The sequence below is a fragment of the Homo sapiens genome, chromosome 5 (assembly GCF_000001405.40).
Source record: "Homo sapiens chromosome 5, GRCh38.p14 Primary Assembly".
Taxonomy (NCBI): Eukaryota; Metazoa; Chordata; class Mammalia; order Primates; family Hominidae; genus Homo; species Homo sapiens.
The window spans coordinates 102,684,637-102,708,392 of record NC_000005.10 but is presented as its reverse complement, the minus strand read 5'-3'; the positions used below and the strand labels follow the sequence as shown (position 1 = coordinate 102,708,392).

At 40.2% G+C, this 23,756-nt stretch overlaps 1 long non-coding RNA gene across 2 annotated transcripts in view; it reads right to left on the bottom strand.

Annotated features, from left to right (window-relative positions):
• Nucleotides 1-23,756, bottom strand: part of LOC105379104 (uncharacterized) — a 62,441-nt gene that overhangs the window by 18,195 nt on the left and 20,490 nt on the right. The window contains exon 3 of one of the 2 annotated variants that reach the window (XR_948631.4): nt 2,122-2,292. The exons of the other annotated variant lie outside the window; for it this stretch is intronic. This is a non-coding gene — a long non-coding RNA (uncharacterized LOC105379104). The remainder of the gene's footprint in view (nt 1-2,121; nt 2,293-23,756) is intronic. 2 annotated transcript variants of the gene reach the window in all.

Below are 23,756 nucleotides of genomic sequence, written 5' to 3'. Positions count from 1 at the left end.
GGTTGAATTTGGGAGTGCAGGCTAAATTCTATTAGCTTATTTAATGCAGAAGCCAATAGAATGTAGTGTTTTACTTTCCATAGAGCCAGGAATCAGTGCAAAGCCCAATTCAGGATAAAAGTCATAACATTTCTCTTAAACCTCACTATGACTTTTTAACATCTGTCATGGCAAGAACACCCTTTATACAATACTGCAATTTTTCCTTTTTCCTCTTACATGCTTTCTGCACCTCCTAACCTAACATTTTGACCTGATCTCCCCTCACTCATATTTTATAATTTCTATCTCATTCTGCTTATTTATACACCTCTTTCTATGCTGTGGTGGGCAACTTTGGCTTTTGCTTTGTAGTGTTATTCTCTCTTCATTAATAGCAGAAACTGATTTTTCTTTGGAGGAGGGCTAGCATTAGGATTTAGGCATGTGATCCAGTTCTATTGAATTATATTCAAGGTCCGTGGCCACAGTGATTGGCAAGAGATACAGTTTGCTCCAGTGAGACTCCAACAGGATAATAGTATTTTGATGATAGGAATAAAAAAATTCTGTAGTTGGTGGAATTGCTAAAGTGACACAATCGAAGCCTGTGGTTGACTCTCTTTAAACCTCTAAGAAGAGCTGGCATGAATGAAACTATCATAGAGAAAAATAGACCCATAAGATGGAGAGAGACCAAGTGCTGAAGACATAATTTGAGCCCCTGGATCCAGGTTTTGGATTATATAAGCCAACAAATTTCCATTTTTATTAAGTCAGTTTGAGCTGGGTTTTGTTCCCACGTGGCCAAGAGTCCCTACTCTTACATATACCAAAGATAGGCTTCCTCCTTAAGGCTACTCCTCTTAGCCTTTCTCTTTTTCATTGATCTCATAAAATTCAACTTGCCCTCTATCACCCCCAAGCCTTTTATAGAAAAAGTTAAAAAAAAAAAAGGCCAATAACGATATCTGGTACCTGTATCATATGACTTTTCTGAGGGCCTAATAAGTGTAAAATGCTTGAAATGGTACCTGTCATGTTGTACCATATAAGTATTTGTTATTTCCATCTCCATATTATCATCACTATTTTCATGTTACTCATTTACAATAATCAGATCACAAAATTAGAGACTTAAATCCACTGATACCTCAATCTCTATAAGCATTTACTTATAAATTGGCTTTTTTGGCCAGGATATCATCTATTAGTATGTCCTGCATTACTATTTGTCTGAATGACTTTTCTATTTGTTTGACAGTGCATTCCATTTTACAAATGTATAATATAAAGTTTGTGTCTGTTGAGTCTCTCTTGGGAGATGCATACCAAAAAAAATCACAGAATACCATTTGTAACTATCACTGGTTCACAATATTTGTACTGTGAATCTTTATATGCCTTTTAGGTGTCTAAGAAGACTATTTCTTTCACTTTACAAATAAAGAAACATGTAAAAGTATTATTTCTCAGGGTAATATATTAATGGGAATGGAACATAAATCTCTAGATTTCTAATACAAGAAGTGAATAATTGCCTCCTAAATAATTTCAGTATAATTGTTTCTTAGTATAATATTGTTTTGACTTGGAGTTAAGTTCCCTGAGTTCCAGTTTTTGCTCTGACATTGATTAACTGGATAATTCTGAGCAGACCATGGATCTATCGACCACAGTTTCCTTGTCTGTAAATGAAGAGTTTATACTCTACATTTAATGCACCTTTCAACCCCAAAATTCTCTGAATTCATTTCAAAGGATGATTTATCATGAACACATTTTAGAATCGTTGTTTTCTATGAGACAGAAGAGCTACAAAGAGAGACGCTGAAACTCTTCATTCAAGTATGCAAATGATACTCAATTTGTAAGATTCACTTGGAAGAAATAAAGAGGTATAGCATGTAAAATGAAAAAGGGTTTAGATCAATTTAAAGTAAGAGTATAAAGGTGGAAATTTCAGTTCATTCTAGTGAAAGGTAAACTAATTAATCTGGGAGCTAAGACACAAATTGGGGAAAAGGTGATGAGCTGTACCATCATCCAGCACAGTAATCAGGAAGAGGGTTTGGTGACTGAGACAGAGACCACTGAAACTATCTCCTTGTGCTAGAGAAAGGTTAGGAGAGGGGCATTTACCTTTTCAAGAATTACTACTGGTGGATCTGTTAGACATCACACACTTGTCCAGAACTGGTAAGGCCTCTGAGACAGATGAGGATTTTGCTTGAATCTCCCTTCTGAGGTACACCCAGGCTATGTATCATTTGGAAGCCATTCTGAGTCAGAGCTCTTCTCCCAAAATTAGCTCTTGGACAAACACACACAAAAGATTTATTTTTTCTGGGTCCAGGTTAATTAAATACAGCCAAAGTGAAATCAATTCTGTCTTAAGAGTGACAGGCCTGCTGCCTATCAGAAGAGCTGCAACAATTAGCTTAGACCTAACAATTGAAAACATTTATTTGACTACTGGATCACCTGTACCAGCAATTCAGTAAATTCAATATCTATATGGAAAGGTAGATAGATGTAAATATAAATTATATATATATATTTATATATGTAGACGTATAGACATGTTTTTAGGAACAGAATTGTGTTCCCCAAAATTTATATGTTGGAGTCCTAACCCCCAATGTGAATGTAGAGATAGGAACTTTATCAAAGTAATTAAATTTAAATGAGGTCGTGAGGGTGGGGCCTTAATCCGATAGGACTGGTGACCTTATAAGAAGAGAAAGAGACACCAGAGAGCTCTCTCTCTTTTCACTTGTGCACGAAGAAGAGGCTCTGTGAGGACACAGCAAGAAGTCAGATGTCTGTAAGCAAGAAAGAGAACCTTCCACCAGAAACCAACCCGGTGGTACCTTGATCTAGGACTTCTAGGTTCCAGAACTGTGAGAAAATAAATGTCTGTTGTTTAGGCCACCCCATCTATGGTATCTTGTTATGGTAGTCTCAGTAGACTAATTCATCTATACATCCCTATCTGTCTGTGTTTCTTGTCTTAGCTCATTTTTTGCTGCTATAACAGAATACCACAGATGAAGACATTTATAAAGAATGAAAATGTATTTCTCACAGTTCTGGATGCTGGGAAGTTTAAGACCAAGGCACTAGCATCTGATGAGGGCCTTCTTGCTGCATCCTCATATGGCAGAAGGAGGAAGGCAAAAGGGGACAATGCTATTTCCTCACATGGCAAAAGAGCAAACCCACTCCTGCAAGCCCTTTTTCTAAAAAATAAAAAATAATCTGTTGTCAACAAAGGTGATATATACAGCAGGAAAATAAATAACAAGGAGAGAGGGAGTGAATGAATCCTCCCGGAGGGCTGCTTCCACCCTCTTTAGAGATGGAGCGGGAAGAGGTAATGGAGGCTTACTGGTCTAGGAACCTGAACAAGTTGGGAAGGAGGAATGTCCGCTGAGGTAGTAGGACTCAGTTCAAACCCCATTTTGTAAGGCACTGTGCCAGGGGATGGTGGTGCAGAATTAGCCCATTCATGAAGAGTTTGCCCTCATGACCTAAACACTTCCCATTAGGCCTCGCCTCCCAACACTGTTGCACTGGGGTTTAAGGTACCAACACATGAATTTTTTGGACACATTTAGGCTATAACATCTTTCTCTCTCTCTATATATATATGTGGCTGCATTTTCTTATACAATTGAAAATTTTACTCAACCAATTTTCCTTGCCTATTCTCTACCCAGTTTTTCTATATTTAGTACCTCACAGTGAAGTGTAATCTCATATGGGTTTTTAATTCCAAGATAAAAAACACAAATATAAAACAAAGAGTATCTGATAATTCAATTTGCTGTCACTATGTTGAGTGGTTCTCATTCTACAGGTTAATATTAGAATCACCTAGGAAGCTTTTTTAAGCTTTCAAACTAGACTCACTCTTTTGGGCAGTTTATCAGAACCTTTAGAAGGGAGAAATGAAATGGGATATGGCTTTGAAATAGATAAACTGACAGTGTCTTCCCAGAATGTCTTCTCCCTTCTCCCCTAACTTCAGGAGGAGAATCACTCCAGCAACATGGTGGTATTGCCAGATCATAATCACTGGATGCTTGTTATCTGTCACTTAAATGACCTCCCCAGCAGAATTTCTTGAGTTCAGGTGTATGGTCTCAAATTTTATGTTTCTATAACCTGGTCCAGTGCTGTAAAAGGTGAGCAGCAATTTCTTGGATGTGGAACAAATTCTTTAGACTTGTCCTGGTATCACCTCTTCTCAGAACCTGACAGAATTATCCTGAATTGAGAGGATTAATAGTGTCACATGTGTTAGAACAGCACTTTCTAGACTTGGTCACTTGCTCATGTCACCTGTACTATCACCTTCTGTCTGTAGTAGAGCTCTACTACAGTCTATGCTCATCGTAGCAGCAAGGATGATCCTTTAAAAGATCTGCAATGACTCTCCATTTTACTCAGAGTAAAAGCTACAGTCCCTACATTGTCCTATAGATAGAGTGACCCTGTGTTCCAGTTTTCAGGGACAGCCCTGGTTTATGCATGCTGTTTTGGTGTAATTATTAAATGTGTCCTATGTTATTCTAATAAGTGTTGCAGATTGTTTGATGAGTTGTATGGTCATCCACTTAGAAGGCCCTACATGATCTGGTTCCCTATACTCTCTCTGGCCTCTTTCTTTCTTTTCTCTGCTACTCTGGCCACCTTATTGTTCCTTCCACACACAGGCATTCCTGCCTGGGACTTCTGCCCTAATTCTTCCCTCTACGTGGACTACTCTTCCCAGATACCTACTTTGTTCTCTCTCAACTTCTCCAAATCTGCTCAAATCTCACCTTCTCAAAGAAGCCAGTGCTGACCATCTTCTTAATACTTGTAGAATGACTATCAAATATTTTTCTTCAAATTGATATCTTTTTAGCCTTAAATATCTACTTCAATTTTAATCTTAACAAAATATCAATTAAAATGTGGGCATGACATGTTATTTTTTAATACACAATTTTAATGTTTACAATAAAGTAGATATGTTAGAAGAAAAATATTTTGTGTGCCATGTAAAATTATCTCATGACCACCAGTAGTATGCACATTGGATTTTATGAAACAGTTAATGAAGTTTTCATGAAAACTCTGCTATACATGATTCTGAGACCCACAAGCACTGCAGTTATGCTGGAATGTCCTACAATCCCCACAAAATGTGTAGTAGGTTTCAGTTTATTATTTGCGATTGCATGTCTCCCAGATCTTCCTAGCAGGCATATTATATCTTATTGGTCCCCAAAAGAACACACTGTAGTACATTTTAATAGATGCTCTTGCCCTACATGGGAGTTTGTTATGTCATGAGTCTTCAGTCTTTCAAAATTCGAGGGTTTTTTTCCAGCTACTAGGTAATTTGATTATTTTTTATTTGCTTGGCCCAACCACCAACACTTTATCTGGCTTCTGTTTTTATTGTTGAATCAGACAATCAATCTTAATTAATTCAGCTATCTGATCCACTTGTAGATTTTTATGCTACAAAGCTCAAATTTAAAAACCTAATCAAGACTTTATGAAATTAAAAATAGTAGATCTGGGAAATTCGAAGTTACGTGTATGAGTCCACTTGAAATAAAAGTGAAGAAAATAAGCAATGAATACTTCATGGTATTAAAAAACAGGAGTGAACTGCATTGTAGAAAAGAAAGTAATGGGACTGATTTTCACCCACTTGAGTCAATTCTAATTCAAATTTGAATAAGAATTGCCACTTAGAAAGCTAAAATGATCTATAAGTAAGTTTTTCCCCCTAAATCATGGTAGTAGGTGCAGTTTGAGCAAGACGTTTTGATTGTAACAATACAGAAAGAAATTGCATGATAAGAAGAGGTCTGTCTAAATTTATTAGAAACACATTTTCTTATCCAGGTTCACTGTAAATGTTTAAAGAAATAGGCTGTGCTAGAAATGCCCCAAATCTCTAATATGTTGTTTTTAATTAGCACACTTTTTTTTAGTAATTACACAACTATCACTATGATAGCTAAGAATGTGAAATGTATTTTAACATTGTTATTCAGGATAAAATAAGCATACATAAAATGTTATAAAATACAAAGTATCTAATAATAACCCTGATGAGGTTCCACTATTTCCAATTACAATTAAATAATCTACTTTGTGCTAAAACAGCAGAGTAAAAGAAAATCAGAACTCCTTTATTAATGACAAATGAAGATATACTGTACAAAGAAACTATAAAGCTCTGATAAAAACAACACAATAGCATTAAATATTTTAAGGTATCAAAGCCACATCTGAGGACATTTATTATCTTGTCTGTGTAACATCTCTATCTTTGGAGGACCACCTCTTCCTACCTTTGAAAAACTCTCTCTCACTCTCACCCTTCTGAGTCCCACTATAGCTATCACCATGTGGTCTAAATTGGAGCTTCCCTTATTCCTAGGTGGCACTTCCTCCCTGACTTTAGTAATGAGGCAGAGGCAAATACATGAATTGTCCATTTGGGGGAGGTTTTAAACTAAGGTTGGGACAAGAGAGAATCAAGAATGGTAAAATAGAATTTCTTCCTTCTGGTGGTAAATCTAGGTTGATCTGAACCCAGAGCCAGCTGCCAACATTTAAGTATTCAACAGCATGGAACTTGCCCTAGGAGAAACTAAGTGATAGACAACATACAGAAAGAAGAAGCGATGAGAGAGCAAAAGATGGTATATGAGCCCCTTGTTACAGCTACCATTGTCCTCTCCTTTGTGAGTTAATGATGTCTCTATTTCTGCCCAAGTTAGTTCAAACTGAGCTTCTTCACTTGAAATTAAGTCCTAATACACATCCTGAATTGCTATTTAGAAATTGTGCGTGTATGTGTGTGTATTCATAGGTGTGTGCAAATAAATTCCCCCAAGTGGGAGCATGATTGATTGAAGTGATTCTAGTCTCTTTACTTACTTGAAATTTCAAATCAGATTTTGGATAATCGAGAAAAAGTGGCTTAATATCTCTGCTGTGCAAGGAAATCCAGTATAACAAGTGTGCCAACAAAATATTTTTTTATCTCACAAAAACAAACTTCTGCTCTTCAGTCAGTGACCCACCTATCCAAATTCCAAAAATAACAAAAGCGTTAGATGATAACAACGCTCTTTGTAAGGGAATTTGATCTATCTCTCTTTCCATGGAATGATGAGTAGAAAGGTTTTCCTTATTTCCTGTGTTGGGACCTGAAAATGTTCCTCCCAGTTTAAGGAAGTGAAAGTCTCATAAATAAGATCAGCAGCAGGTCTTGACCTCTCATTTACAGACTTTTATAACAGCTCTTTAAATGCATGCACTGTTTTGTATGAGAGCAAGGATTGTGCATATTTTATTTGTGTGGCTATAGGTCTTATCACACTATGTACTTCTAGTAGCTAGTAAAAATTACTTGTTAAATTAAAGAATGACTGAAAGATTGGAAGATCCTAGACAACTCATTTTCTCTTAAAAATATTTTAAATCCTCTCATTCTATGGCCTCTAATTGCATTTGCATTTCTTCTTTAAGAGGCACAGATACTATGTAGTCTATACATGGTACAAATATACATTTTCTGGGTTTTGCTGTGCTGCTTCTTTCTTGCTATTGAAAAATCAAAACAAAAAAGAAAAGAAAGAAAAAAAACAAAAAAGGAAAGGAGTGCTTTGCACTGTGGGTTTATTTACAGTCTCTCTGTGTGCTAGAAGGAGACACCAACTCATGAGACTGATGTATTGGCAAGAGCTGCTGCCAGATGTTGACCATGACAGGTGCATAATAAAAATGCTCTTTGTGGCTTTCCCTCAGAATTCTAAATATATTTGGAAATAAGGAAAACATCTGCTCATTACTTCTTTCATTGACAGGCTACTATAGCTTTCTAAACTGTGATTTTAAAAATATTGGGGGCATTATTTTTGTGACATTGTAAATGCTTTATCTAAATGTTCTTCACAAGAAAAATGCAAAATTCTAGCACACGCTTTTATGCCTTTTCACTTACTAAATGGCTGCATTGTTTCTGCCATTCCTGCCCATCTGTATTTTGGTTCAGAGCAAAGCCACAAATACTTAACACAAGTGGAACAACCCTATTTATTATGATTTCAAGATTGCAAAATTGTGCTGCAACCAGAGTCACCATATGATTAGCATTCTTTTTTCAACAGCCTGACATGCAGTTACTGTGAATTGATACACAGTTTTTGGTAGTCAAATTAAGGATAGGTAGCAGTGCCCTGTGAAAAGTCTTATATTTGGAATCAGTAGCTTTGCTATAACCCTCAGTGGTGATCAGTAAACAAGCACCATGACAAGCTTAAAGGATAAGAAGTTTCTCAATCTATATAGCTTTGAAATCTCTAAGGAAGAGCATATGGAAAGAAGTTCACAGCAATTTCTTTTTTCTTTTTCTTTTTTGTTTTGTTTTGTTTTGTCTTGTTTTGTTTTGTTTTGAGATGGACTCTCACACTGTCACCCAGGCTGGAGTGCAGTGGTGGGATCCCGGCTCGCTGCAACCTCCGCCTCCTGGATTCAAATGATTCTCTTGACTCAGCCTCCTGAGTAGCTGGGATTACAGGTGCCTGCCACCATGCCTGGCTAATTTTTGTATTTTTAGTAGAGATGGGGTTTCACCATTTTGGCCAGGCTGGTCTCGAACTCCTGACCTCAAGTTACCTGCCTGCCTTGACCTTCCAAAGTGAAATTACAGGCATGAGCCACCGCGTCTGGCCTGCAGCAATTTCTAATGGCATATGAGCCCAGTTTGTCCAATGAAATAAATGAATAAATAGAGCTTTATCTTAGAATTCATAGTGAGTGGACAAGTGCAGAAGAGTAAGTTACGGATCCCTTATGGATGGTGGTACTGTAGCAGGTGCGGTCTGAGTCTGGGGCTGAAGTAGGAGAGAAAGGGAGAGTATCATGGTGAGAGGAAATGGATTCCATCATATGTAACAGAGGAAACCCTCAGGCATCTCTCACATTTTCAAGACAACCAATATTCATATAATCCCCAAAGTCCAATGCTATACTCCCTTTCTTTAGCCTCAACAGAACATTACATGTGGTCAAGAAAGCTTTGGTTAGAGAAAACTTTATCCTGCATTTCAGATCATAAAGAAATGATTGTTAAGGGTTATGGGAAGTACATATTATTTATTTCAGGTCATTAGTTCTTAACCTGAGGATCATGTAGAAAAGTCTGGGGCATTTAAAATTAGGAGGAAAAGAGTCTGTAACAAAGGTAGTAAGATTATGAACTATGGAAACAGCTTGAATTGGCCTCCTTTATATTTTTTAAACCTTCCTTTCCCCATATTGGTATCTGCTGCAAAATCTGTAATTGACAACAAGTCAGGGACCCTTAGGCTGAAATCTTGGTTGGGCTTTATGAGTTGTGAATCCCCTGATAAGACATACAGAAGTTGGAATGAATGGCTGTGTGTGCTGTTGAGCATACTTCCTTTCATAGCTTTCAGCAAATCGTTAGAAATAATCCAAAAGAAACAAAAAGGAGATGAAAACAATTGTTTTGGTATTTTTAAAATGCCTGTCACTTTTATGTCTTTAGCAGTAAAATAACTTTGTAAATTTCCTTTTTTCCTTTGATGCTTTCTATTAAAGTTGCTCTCTTGAAAGAACTTCATATTTGTCATTAACATTTTCGTATGAACACTCATATGTTACTTCCTAGGAATAGTTGCTGTTTTTTCTTTTCATTTCTTATTGTGGAGCTAAGTATGTTATTGCCTCCTTAATGGCTATAAGCTTTAGGAAGTTAGAGAAGTGTTGATTTGGGTAGGAGAATTTTCTAGATTGGTTGAAATAATACAGCCACATTTTAGGAGAACATAGAACTTATAAAACACGTACAATTTTATTTTTTCTAGGGAGCTGGAAAGCATCTTGGTGTGTGTTGTGAAAAAGAACTGGACTTGGAACTGGCCACCTTTGAGTTTATTTCCTGGCTCCATCAATTATTAGTGGTGTGACTATGGGGAATATACTTAATCTCTTTGAGCTCCAATGGCATCATCTATAAAGTGTCAGCTAACAACACCTCTATTACAGGGTTATGAGGGTTAGTAGTCATTTATGCAGTGTGCTTTAACGCTCAATAGATGGTTGCTACAATGGGTGAAAATAATGCAGAGAAAACAATGTGGTAAGAAAAAGTAAAGGCAGCGATAGTGATAGTAGTAAGCTTTAATGAGTGTTTTACATGTATTGTCTTGTTTAAACTCCAGAATATCTCAATTATTGCCCCATTTTAATTTTTAACTTTTAATTATTATTTTTATATTTTTATTTATTTTTTTTAGGCAGAGTCTTGCTCTGTCATCCAGGCTGGAGTGCAGTGGCATGATCTCAGCTCACTGCAACCTCCGCCTTCCTGGTTCAAGTGATTCTCTTGCCTCAGACTCCTGAGTAGCTGGAATTACAGACGTGCACCACCACGCCCGGCTAATTTTTGTAGTTTTGGTAGAGACAGGCTTTCACCATGTTGGCCAGGTGGGTCTCGAACTCCTGACCTCAAGTGATCCTCCTGCCTTGGCCTCCCAAAGTGCTGAGATTACAGGCCTGAGCCACCACACCCGGCCTTATTGCCCCCATTTTAATAAAGAATTGAGGCAAAAGTGGCTCAGTAACTTGCTCAGGGCTATTCAGTTAGCATTGGTGGAGCAGGGATGTCAGTGGGCAGTCTCCAGAGCTTCTCTCAATCTCTCGTTCACGCCACTCCTCCTTATGACAACAGACATGGGTGTGAGGGGTACAAGTTTGGGAATCCAGTTTTGATATTTGGTTTTGTACTTTTGTGATGTCTAGAAATGTAAATCTGTAGAATATCATTATTATGTTCAACATGATCTTACCCACAAGTCTTTCCCAGATATTAAAACAAAATTTTCCCTCAATATTTGCTTTTCACGTTAGTAAACAAACAAAACTTATTTGAAGTCTATTATGTCCTAGGCATTGTACTCACCTCATTAGCCTTGAAGAGCTTAAAATCTAGAGGAAGAAACAAACGCACAAACAGATAATTTTAATATGAATACGGTAAGAGGTAAAACACAGGTGTATCTGGGGTGCTGTGGTAAATAAAGAAGGAGGCCTTAAACCAGCCTGGAAACACAGGGGTGCTTCCTAGAAAAGATGACACGTAGTTAGCCTTGATGAGTAAGTAGGAAACAGCCAGGCCAAGGAGCACGAAGAAGGTGCTACCATCAGATGGAACAGCAAAAGCAAAAGCATGGAGGCAGAAAGCAGCATGGGCACGGGTGGTGAGGGGGGTACATGGTGTCAGAAGTTGGGCTTTGCCAGATGCAGATGGACATAGGGCAGAGATGTGACCAGAGCAGGCACACAGGGTTCAGGGCTTGGACTCCCATGCCCCTGGCCCCCATTGAATAGTCTGGTTGATTGGCTGTCATTGTGTAGACAATGGGAACTCAAAATATTAAGAATGACTGAAACGGTCAGCCCTCCATGTAGCTCCACTGTGAAAAATGGAGAGGGGAAGGGAACAAAATTCATCTCTTCAATACCCTTTTATTATTATTATTAGGTTTGGAAAGGGAAAGTTTATTAGAAAGGAAGAAGGCTGCAGAAGAGTGCAGTGGGGCACCTCAGTGAGAGGACTGAATGTGCCGCCGTGGATTTTTCCTTAAGGGTACTTATCCACCTTAAGCTGGGAGCTTAACGGTTGTAAAATGAGTTTCAGCATGGCATTCCAGAGATGTATAGAAATGTTAGTTACTTATAAAAGTTGAAAGAGGCCTGAAACCAGATGCCAATGAAGTGGTCTTTGCTCCCTTCTAAATTCCTCAGAGAAAGAGTTTTTGTCGCCAGGGACTGTTCAATGGTTACCAGGTCATTTTTGCTCTCCTCATTTTGCCCCTGACAAATATTTTGGTCAAATCTTTGACCCTTTATACCCCACCATGCCCATGTCTACCTGCTGCCTATTGGGTTCTCAAGAAAGAGAAAACACCCGCAATTAAGAGGGGCATTGAGTTTGTCTGGCTACTTCCTTCTGAAAGGGGATATTGAAGGGACAGGTTGTATTTTTCCCTTCTTGCTCTCTGTCGTAAAGGGAATGAAGGATTTTGAAACCCCATTCATGGAGGGGAGACCGGATTCCATCAAGAGGCTCCATGTAAGTGGAAGTTGCCGTTGCAGGATGGTATTGGGATTGCATAGCCATCTGTAGGTGGCATCTTTGTAATCTGGAAGATATAAATCTAATGAGGGTGTTAAAAAGACAGGGACTGAATATTAAAAGAAGAATAACAAGGAACAAAGACCCAAGGAATGGGAGAAGCCAAGTGATTTTTGGAAACCAATCAGTAAAAGTTTTGGTCCTGTCTTGGTTACTTTGGGAAAGTGTGTGCAGCCATTTGGCTTGTTTGAAAATTTATATGGCAGCCAGGTGCGTTGGCTCATGCCTGTAATCCTAGCACTTTGGGAGGCTGAGGCGGGTGGATCACAAGTTCAGGAGATCGAGACCATCCTGGCTAACATGGTAAAACCCCGTCTCTACTAAAAATACAAAGGCTGAGGCAGGAGAATGGCATGAACCTGGGAGGTGGAGCTTGCAGTGAGCTGAGATCACACCACTGCACTCCAGCCTGGGTGACAGAGTGAGATTCCGTCTCAAAGGAAAAAAAAAAAAGAAAATTTATACGGCTAGAAGGTGAGGCCTTAGCTGTAATTTAGCTTGTAATTTTGTGAGTAAGTCATGACCTAATAATGGAACAGGACAGCTTGGCAGGACTAAAAGAAGTGGGTAAAGGAATAACTGTCCATTTCCCAAGGGAGCAGTGGTGTGAAACAGCCTCATTGAGGTTTTCCATCAATACCGGTGAGGAAAATGGAGGACTGGCACATTGGGCCATAATAAACATTTAAAACTGAACCCTGTATCTATAAAGAACATTATCTCTTGTTAAGCCACAATCAGATTTACCTCATCTATAAAGGCTCATCTATACAGATGGAAAAGACAGGAGCCTAGATGGCCTCAAAGCCCCATCACTCATCTAGAGGATGACTTTCAGAGGCTTAATCAAAATCCAGGGATAGAGGTGTTTGTCCTTGCCCTTGCCCTCACCCTTGCCCTCATTCTGCAGGACCCCCTTGTTGGGTAGGTTGACAAGGTGGTGGCTGCGACAGCCCAGAAAGAAGTGGTGCCCCAACCCCTCCCCCGCCATGAGGGAGAGAGGGACACTCACTCTTCAAACAATCCTCTTGTTTGCAATGAGGACAGGGTCCCTGGGGCAGCTTGTAACCTGTAGATTTGGGACATTCTCTACTCCAGTGTCCTGGATTTCTGCAGTGATGACAGACCCTTGTTCTGTTAGTATTATGTGGTCTAGCCTTGGGGTTACTAGCTAACAAAAAAGAATGTTCCAATGCTGTTGCCATGTAATTAGCTGGTGACGGCATTTTTCCTCCTCCCATTGAGCTTTTTAAATTTTTGATGTTTCTTCCAGGTTATGGAAAACCTTAAAGGCCATATTTAATAAAGTAGAAAAGGGAGTTTGTGGGCCTTGCTCTAATTTGGGGTTTTTTTGTCTAATATCTGGGGAAGCCTGACTTATAAAATGTATGGCCAGAGTGGATTGGCCTTCAGGGCTTTCAGGGTCTAAATCTGTGTATTTATGGATGACCTCCACCAGTCTGGGTTTGAAAAGGGCAGGATTATCAGATGGCTCCTGGGTGACTTCTCATAATTTCGAAAAATTAACAGATTTTGTTACAGCCTTTTTCACTTCTTCCAACAAGCAAGTTTATTTGATCTTGTCTGCTCCTGCCTCTGGGTAGGCATTGGCGGCCTGGTATTGCCAATTGGGTTCTGTGTCAAGCACAGCTTCTGCCCCAGCTCTATTATCACTGGGATTACAAGCATGAGCTTTGTCTGCCCAAGCTCAAGCTAAAGACCATGTGCATGATTTTTCTTCATGGGAACAGCAAGTAATTAATACTATGAATATGTCTTGCCAAGTTAAATTGAAGGCAATAGTTAAAGCCCAAAATTCTTGAATGATCTTAGAGGGACCCTGGCCAAAAGAACCCAGTTTGGATTGAATTTGCAAAATATCAGACATTGGAAAATGGATATGAACTCGAATTGTTCCCAAATGCCCATTTGCCACCTTGAGGAGAGGCAAAACATTTTTGGGATTTTCTGAGGACTCTGTACGACTAGTGGCATATGTGACTCCTGTGTGAATATGTGAGGGGGGTAAAGCAACTGGACAGGGAAGTTGATTGGGGGATGATGGAGCAGATGGAGAGGGTGTAGGTGAAGCAGGAGCCCGCTGAGGAGACTGTGACAGGTAAAAGGAAGGATGATTTAAGACATCGGAATCGGGGAGAGAGGAAGTTCCTTGGAAGCATACACTACAATTTTTATGTAACTTTGGGTTTTGAGATAAAGCCCAAAAGACCAGAACATAAGGCACCTCTGAATACAAATGAAAATTATACACTTCTTTTTGAGAGTCTGTGGGTCAGAATAAGAACATTTTTTAAGAATGCAACCCAAGGGTGAGTAGGAATGAATTGAAGAATGAATTGAACCCATGTTAGGTTTAGGTAAGGGACTACAAGATTCGTGAGGCGTCCCTGAGGAATTTGGACTTCACTTTCCCCTTTGGCGCACTCTGTTCAGGGGCATCCCATCATGGATAGAGGGCCTGCTGCCCTTGCCTGGATGACCAGGCAAGGTGTGCCCTGGTAGGAGTGGTCAGCTCAAACCTAATGTAAACGGCAACTCACCGTAGCTTAGGATGTGGTGCCTGTGATTAAATTGAATCCAAAAGTGGGTCCACAACCAGTGGAGTGTGTCTGTGCAGAGTTGAGATCGCTGCCGCTCGTTTCCAAGACACGGTTTATAGAGCATTAAAGTGAAAGTGGACTTGCCACCCTGACGGGCCATAGCAAATTCGCTCTTTTGTCTTGGCCTTCAGGTAACACCGGGGAGTGCCCTCGGCCAAAAACCCTCAACTGCCAAAGAGTATTCAAGCTGGCTCACTGGCAGTCCGAAAATAGAAAATAACCCTGGCCAATCTCTCACCTCTAAGAACAGCCACAGACAGGTATCCCTTCTCCAGGGTTTCAGGATCCCACCAAAGAGTGGCCTCAGCCAGGGACCTTCAATTCCCACGAGTAAAGAACCAGACCACCACGCCTGTAATCCCAGCACTTTGGGAGGCTGAGGTGGGCGGATCACGAGGTCAGGCGTTTGAGACCAGCCCCAGCCTGACCAACAGGGTGAAACCCCGTCTTTACTAAAAATAACAAAAATTAGCCGGGCGTGGTGGCGGGTGCCTGTGGTCCCAGCTACTGGGGAGGCTGAGGCAGGAGAATGGCGTGAACCCGGGAGGCGGAGCTTGCAGTGAGCCGAGATTGCACCACTGCACTCCAGCCCGGGCGACAGAGCGAGAGACTCCATCTCAAAAAAACAAACAAACCAAAACAAACAAACAAAAAACCAGACCACTGAGGGAACAAATCCCAGTAAAGTCCCCATATGGGCCACCAAGATGCCAGGTGAGGCGTCAGAGCCCTGGCATTGGAAAGTTGTCGACTTGTGGGTTGGTAAAAAGAATTTACCGACAACAGTATGGGTTTGAAAAATGAAAGTTTATTAGAAAGGAAGAATGCTGCACAAGGATGCAGTGGAGCACCTCAGTGAGACGACTGAATGAGCCCTAATGCCCTTTTATTAACCAACAACCTTTGTGGAAGCTTTTAATTCACTCTATTCCTCCTTTCTTTTTCTCCTTGCTTTTGTATCTACAACCCAATGGGGAGATGAGAATTTAATAACTAAATGCAGTAACTTATGATAGCTTCAGCCCCTTCTTCTATACCTTTTTCAGTCCTTCATCTATATGTCTACTCAGATGTATTTGAGCTTCCATTTTGTAGTTATGTCTAGGTGAGTCTTATTCTCTCACTAGCCCTAGAGATCTGGCTTATGTAAACTTCTGGGCTTTGTCAGATATTCTGCGGGAGTGCTTCCAGAAGTGGAATAAGAATTTCCAAATCCCAAATCTGAAAATTGTCTGCATTGTTCTTAGTAAAGCCCAGGAAAATATTAGAGCCAAAAAACTTAGGTAGAAGAGTCATATGAGGAGATAAGAGGGAATCTGCTTTTCTCAAATAGAAAGCATGGGTTCCCTGGAGTGGAGAGGGTAAGTGGATCAATTTATACTTATGCTTCATAGTTAGCTTCTTAATCACCTTTCTTAATTATACAGGGCACACATGGAAACTCGTCCCACTTGCACAGCTTAATTCTGCATGGTAGACCTCTTAGTGGTTCTTAAGGGAAATGAAGGGCGCAATATAAACCAGCTCTGGGCCTTTCCCAAACACAGAGTTTTCTATGTCCTCTGATACTTTCCCATTACCCATTTCTGCACACTTGCCTGCCTTGAAAGTTACTGCCAAAATGAGTTGCAATTACTGATGGAAGTTTGTCACACCCCTCAGGCATATCTGGGTAAATAAAAGGTTGAGAGCAACTGTAGGCATCCTCTGGTGGTGTATGCTGTGGTGCGTAGGGAAACCTAAAAGAAACCTGGCATGATTGTACAAAGTTGGCTACCATGTTTTTTCCTGGTTCTCCACTGTCAGGTAGCTGTGTTTTCTTTTTGTGACAAAGAAATAATGACTTACAGTGTCATAAATCAAAGCCTGTTCTCTTACTTTTACTAGTTCCTAGAAGGCAGAGACTCTGTCTTGTTTATCTTGTTCCCACTGCCTTGCACAATGTCTGGTGCAGAGCACTTGCCCAACAAATGTAGTACAAAATGAATGAGAAATGATCTTGGGAGGGCAATGAACTAACAGGCAAAGAGTTGATAAACTTCCAATTATTCAAAACACTATGTTTTCCTACCAAAATATTTGAAGTGGGCCTTTTACACATTAAGCATTTGGCTTATTTGGTAATTATTATTCTGTTACCTCACATTTAGGAAACCCTAGCATTATGAATAAAACTAATTTGAGACCTTTGAGCAACTGTTGATTTTGAAATACTTTTCTTTCCTATAACAAAACAATACTTTTTAGGGCATATTTTTCCCATGAGTTTTAAAAATCTATCTTGATGAACTAAACAACAATAATTTGACAGTGAAGACATTTAAATCATGCACTTTAGTGTAATTCCCAGAGCTAGAGAAGACAGGCCACTGTGATTGAAGCAATGGATTGAATCTCCGCTGCCAGATGACAGTTGAAATATAATGGGCTTACAGCCGTCAGCCACAGCTAGAAGTTTATATGCAAAGAGTAAAGCATTTCAGTGATGGAAAATGGAAAGCTGGGTGGTTACTTGAAATTCTTGCATTGTTCCTAGTAGCTTATAAAGGATATGGGAAAACTCCATCCATGCAAATTCTGTTTAGGATAGTATTTGTAATGGAGCTGCATAAACATACTTCTTGCATCCTGGTACTATTGCTATTTTCTATATCTGTTGTGTGTGATTTTTAAACACATACATCTGAAATAAGGACCAGCATTATATTTCTCAATCCATGATGTTTATATGATTTTGCTCTAATTGTTCTTGAAAAACACAACAATCAGTGACAAATGGCTTCCCATGTCCCCAAGGCCCTTAAGCAGGGGATTTCCAAATTTTCTGTAATGACCAATTTGTTTTTTCTTGTTGTGCTGTGTATAACAGTTGGTTCAGGGTGAAAGTATTTTGATTTTTCTACCTCATGTCCGAATAGCCTTAAAATAATATAATACTTGATAGGATGAAGCTATTCTCCATGTTTCTATAAGTTCTGTTAGAGAATGCATCTGGGTCTATCCAACCATGTTCAATGTTTTCAAATGCCAAATGAGGGCTTCAGAAGAACCCCTTGAGGAAGAAGAGATGACATTTGCCATGCTCTGTTAATATCAACTCAGGAAGAATGCATCTGGCAACACATTTATCCTGATAAACATGACGATAGGGAATTTTTTTGTTTAGCATTGGCAGCGTGTATTTACTGCTACATCTGTATATGGGCTGTCAGGTCACATGAAGAAGCCATAGCAGAAGACAGTTGCAGGGAATAGCTTATGTAATGAGATCAAGCCAGTGAAAGTCTGGGTTCAAGCTGTAATATTACAGTGTGAAGAGCCCACTTATCTGCCCAAGTCAAGGATATTTTCTTCTCTTTTTGGTCACTGTTCATGAAATTACATTGTTATCCCCTTCAGCTGTTCAATGAGCCAATAGAAAAATGAATAAAATGCATAAAAATGGGAGGTAAAGAAGAAAGACTTCAGGCTATAGAATTTATGGCTGGATAACTCAAGATTTTTATGCAGGTAAATTTCCTACATAGGAAAAAAAAGCACTGAGTCTTGAGCCATTCAGGAATGAATATGCTGTTCTAAGTTTATGATGTTCACAAAATCCTATAGTATTGTAACTCTCATTCTCACAAATACAGGACACTAGTCTTTAAAACAGCCTGAAAAATCATTCAAATGAGGGAGATATCAAAACCTATTGAAGCAGGGATTCCTTAAGTGTAAGTTAGTAGGTTTTCAATCACTTTAGTTTCACAATTTGACACTATTAAGGCTAATATATAGGTGCCTGCCAGCACAGCTAACATTAAGAATCTATCAGTGTTTCCATTATATATCCCATTTTTCAGGGGTTAATAACTTGGTCATAAAAATTCACTGTAGGCTAAAATCAAGTCTTGAAGGGAAATCTTTTTTCTTAATCCCAACAGAAGAGTTTGCTCATGTTCCTGAGACTTAAGATGGTCAGAAATCAGAAAAGGTGGTGGAGCCAAGATGGCCAAATAGGAAGAGCTCCAGTCTACAGCTCCCAGCGTGAGCGACACAGAAGACGGGTGATTTCTGCATTTCCAACTGAGGTACCGGGTTCATCTCACTGGGGAGTGCCCGACAGTGGGTGCAGGACAGTGGGTGCAGCACACCATGCATGAGCCAAAGCAGAGCGAGGCATCACCTCACCCGGGAAGCACATGGGGTCAGGGAATTCCCTTTCCTAGTCAAAGAAAGGGGTGACAGAAGGCACCTGGAAAATCGGGTCACTCCCACCCTAATACTGTGCTCTTCCAACAGGTTTAACACACGGCACATCAGGAGCTTATATCCTTCACCTGGCTCGGAGGGTCCTACACCCACAGAGCCTCGCTCACTGCTAGCACAGGAGTTTGAGATCAAACTGCAAGGCTGCAGCAAGGCTGGGGGAGGGGCGCCCGCCATTGCCCAGGCTTAAGCAGGTAAACAAAGAGGCCTGGAAGCTCAAACTGGGTGGAGCCCACCACAGCTCAAGGAGGCCTGCCTGCCTCTGTAGGCTCCACCTCTAGGGGCAGGGCACAGACAAACAAAAGACAGCAATAACCTCTGCAGACTTAAATGTCCCTGTCTGACAGCTTTGAAGAGAATAGTGGTTCTCCCAGCACGCAGCTTGAGATCTGAGAACGGGCAGACTCTCTCCTCAAGTGGGTTCCTAACCCCTGAGTAGTCTAACTGGGAGGCACCCCCCAGTAGGGGAGACTGACACCTCACACGGCCGGGTACTCCTCTGAGACAAATCTTCCAGACGAACGATCAGACGGCAGCATTTGCGGTTCACCAATATCTGCTGTCCTGCAGCCACTGCTGCTGATACCCAGGCAAATAGGGTCTGGAGTGGACCTCCAGAAAACTCCAACAGACCTGCAGCTGAGGGTCCTGTCTGTTAGCAGGAAAACTAACAAACAGAAAGGACATCCACACCAAAAACCCATCTGTACATCACTGTCATCAAAGACCAAAGGTAGATAAAACCACAAAGATGGGGAAAAAACAGAGCAGAAAAACTGGAAACTCTAAAAATCAGAGTGCCTCTCCTCCTCCAAAGGAATGCAGCTCCTCACCAGCAACGGAACAAAGCTGGACGGAGAATGACTTTGACAAGTAGAGAGAAGAAGGCTACAGAAGATGAAACTACTCTGAGCTAAAGCAGGAAGTACAAACCAATGGCAAAGAAGTTAAAAACTTTGAAAAAAAAATTAGATGAATGGATAACTAGAATAACCAATGCAGAGAAGTACTTAAAGGACCTGATGGAGCTAAAAACCACGGCATGAGAACTATGTGACGAATGCACAAGCCTCAGTAAATGATGCGATCAACTGGAAGAAAGGGTATCAGCGATAGAAGACGAAATGAATGAAATGAAGTGAGAAGAGAAGTTTAGAAGAAAAAAGAATAAAAAGAAATGAACAAAGCCTCCAAGAAATATGGGACTATGTGAAAAGACCAAATCTACATCTCATTGGTGTACCTGAAAGTGACAGGGAGAATGGAACCAAGTTGGAAAACACTCTGCAGATATTATCCAGGAGAACTTCCCCAATCTAGCAAGGCAGGCCAACATTCAAATTCAGGAAATACAGAGAACACCACAAAGATACTCCTCGAGAAGAGCAACTCCAAGACACATAATTGTCAGATTCACCAAAGTTGAAATGAAGGAAAAAATGTTAAGGGCAGCCAGAGAGAAAGGTGGGGTTACCCACAAACAAAGGGAAGCCCATCAGACTAACAGCTGATCTCTCAGAAGAAACTCTAAAAGCCAGAAGAGAGTGGGGGCCAATATTCAACATTCTTTCTTTTTTTTTTTTTTTTTTTTTGAGACGGGAGTCTCGCTCTGTCGCCCAGGCTGGAGTGCAGTGGCGGGATCTCGGCTCACTGCAAGCTCCGCCTCCCGGGTTCACGCCATTCTCCTGCCTCAGCCTCCCAAGTAGCTGGGACTACAGGCGCCCGCCACTATGCCCGGCTAATTTTTTGTATTTTTAGTAGAGACGGGGTTTCACCGTTTTAGCCGGGATGGTCTCGATCTCCTGACCTCGTGATCCGCCCGCCTCGGCCTCCCAAAGTGCTGGGATTACAGGCGTGAGCCACCGCGCCCGGCCTCAACATTCTTAAAGACAAGAATTTTCAAACCAGAATTTCATATCCAGCCAAACTAAGCTTCATAAGTGAAGGAGAAATACAATCCTTTACAGACAAGCAAATGCTGAGAGATTTTGTCACCACCAGGCCTGCCCTAAAAGAGCTCCTGAAGGAAGCACTAAACATGGAAAGGAAAAACCAGTACCAGCCACTGCAAAAACATGCCAAATTGTAAAGACCATCAAGGCTAGGAAGAAACTGCATCAACTAACAAGCAAAATCACCAGCTAACATCATAATGACAGGATTAAATTCACACATAACAATACTAACCTTAAATGTAAATGGGCTAAATGCTCCAATTAAAAGGCAAGGACTGGCAAATTGGATAAAGAGTCAAGACCCATCAGTGTGCTGTATTCAGGAAACCCATATCACGTGCAGAGACACACATAGGCTCAAAATAAAGGGATGGAGGAAGATCTACCACGCAAATGGAAAACAAAAAAATGCAGGGATTGCAATCCTAGTCTCGGATAAAACAAACTTTAAACCAACAAAGATCAAAAGAGACAAAGAAGACCATTATATAATGGTAAAGGGATCAATTCAACAAGAACTAACTATTCTAAATATATATGCACCCAATACAGGAGCACACAGATTCATAAAGCAAGTCCTTAGTGATGTACAAAGAGACTTAGACTCCCACACGATAACAATGGGAGACTTTAACACCCCACTGTCAATATTAGACTGATCAATGAGACAGAAAGTTAACAAGGGTATCCAGGAATTGAACACAGCTCTGCACCAAGCGGACCTAATAGACATCTACAGAACTCTCCACCTCAAATCAACAGAATATACATTATTTTCAGCACCACACCACATCTATTCCAAAATTGACCACATACTTGGAAGTAAAGCACTCCTCAGCAAATGTAAAAGAACAGAAATTATAACAAACTGTCTCTCAGACCACAGTGCAATCAAACTAGAACTCAGGATTAAGAAACTCACTCAAAACTGCTCAACTACATGGAAACCGAACAACCTGCTCCTGAATGACTACTGGGTACATAACGAAATGAAAGCAGAAATAAAGACGTTCTTTGAAACCAATGAGAACAAAGACACAACATACCAGAATCTCTGGGACGCATTCAAAGCAGTGTGTAGAGGGAAATTTATAGCACTAAATGCCCACAAGAGAAAGCAGGAAAGATCTAAGATTGACACCCTAACATCACAATTAAAAGAACTAGAGAAGCAAGAGCAAACACATTCAAAAGCTAGCAGAAGGCAAGAAATAACTAAGATCAGAGCAGAACTGAAGGAAATAGAGACACAAAAAACCCTTCAAAAAATCAGTGAATCCAGGAGCTGGTTTTTTGAAAAGATCAACAAAATTGATAGACCGCCAGCAAGACTAATAAAGAAGAAAAGAGAGAAGAATCTAATAGACGCAATAAAAAATGACAAAGGGGATATCACCACCGATCCCACAGAAATACAAACTACCATCAGAGAATACTATAAACACCTCTACGCAAATAAACTAGAAAATCTAGAAGAAATGGATAAATTCCTGGAGACATACACCCTCCCAAGACTAAACCAGGAAGAAGTTGAATCTCTGAATAGACCAATAACAGGCTCTGAAATTGAGGCAATAATTAATAGCTTACCAACCAAAAAAGTCCGGGATCAGATAGATTCACAGCCGAATTCTACCAGAGGTACAAGGAGGAACTGGTACCATTCCTTCTGAAACTATTCCAATCAATAGAAAAAGAGGGAATCCTCCCTAAATCATTTTGTGAGGCCAGCATCATCCTGATACCAAAGCCTGGCAGAGACACAACAAAAAAAGAGAATTTTAGACCAATATCCTTGATGAACATTGAATCAAAAATCCTCAATAAAATACTGGCAAACTGAATCCAGCAACACATCAAAAAGCTTATCCACCATGATCAAGTGGGCTTCATCCCTGGGATGCAAGGCTGGTTCAACATATGCAAATCAATAAATGTAATCCAGCATATAAACAGAACCAACGACAAAAACCACATCATTATCTCAATAGATGCAGAAAAGGCCTTTGAGGAAATTTAACAACCCTTCATGCTAAAAACTCTCAATAAATTAGGTATTGATGGGACATAACTCAAAATAATAAGAGCTATCTGTGACAAACCCACGGCCAATATCATACTGAATGGACAAAAACTGGAAGCATTCCCTTTGAAAACTGGCACAAGACAGGGATGCCCTCTCTCACCACTCCTATTCAACATAGTGTTGGAAGTTCTGGCCAGGGCAATTAGACAGGAGAAGGGAATAAAGGGCATTCAATTAGGAAAAGAGGAAGTCAAATTGTCCCTGTTTCCAGATGACATGATTGTATATCTAGAAAACCCCATCGTATCAGCCCAAAATCTCCTTAAGCAACTTCAGCAAAGTCTCAGGATACAAAATCAATGTGCAAAAATCACAAGCATTCTTATACACCAATGACAGACAAACAAAGAGCCAAATCATGAGTGAACTCCCATTCACAATTGCTTCAAAGAGAATAAAATACCTAGGAATCCAACTTACAAGGGATGTGAAGGACCTCTTCAAGGAGAACTACAAACCACTGCTCAAGGAAATAAAAGAGGATACAAACAAATGGAAGAACATTCCATGCTCATGGGTAGGAAGAATCAATATCGTGAAAATGGCCATACTGCCCAAGGTAATTTATAGATTCAATGCCATCCCCATCAAGCTACCAATGACTTTCTTCACAGAATTGG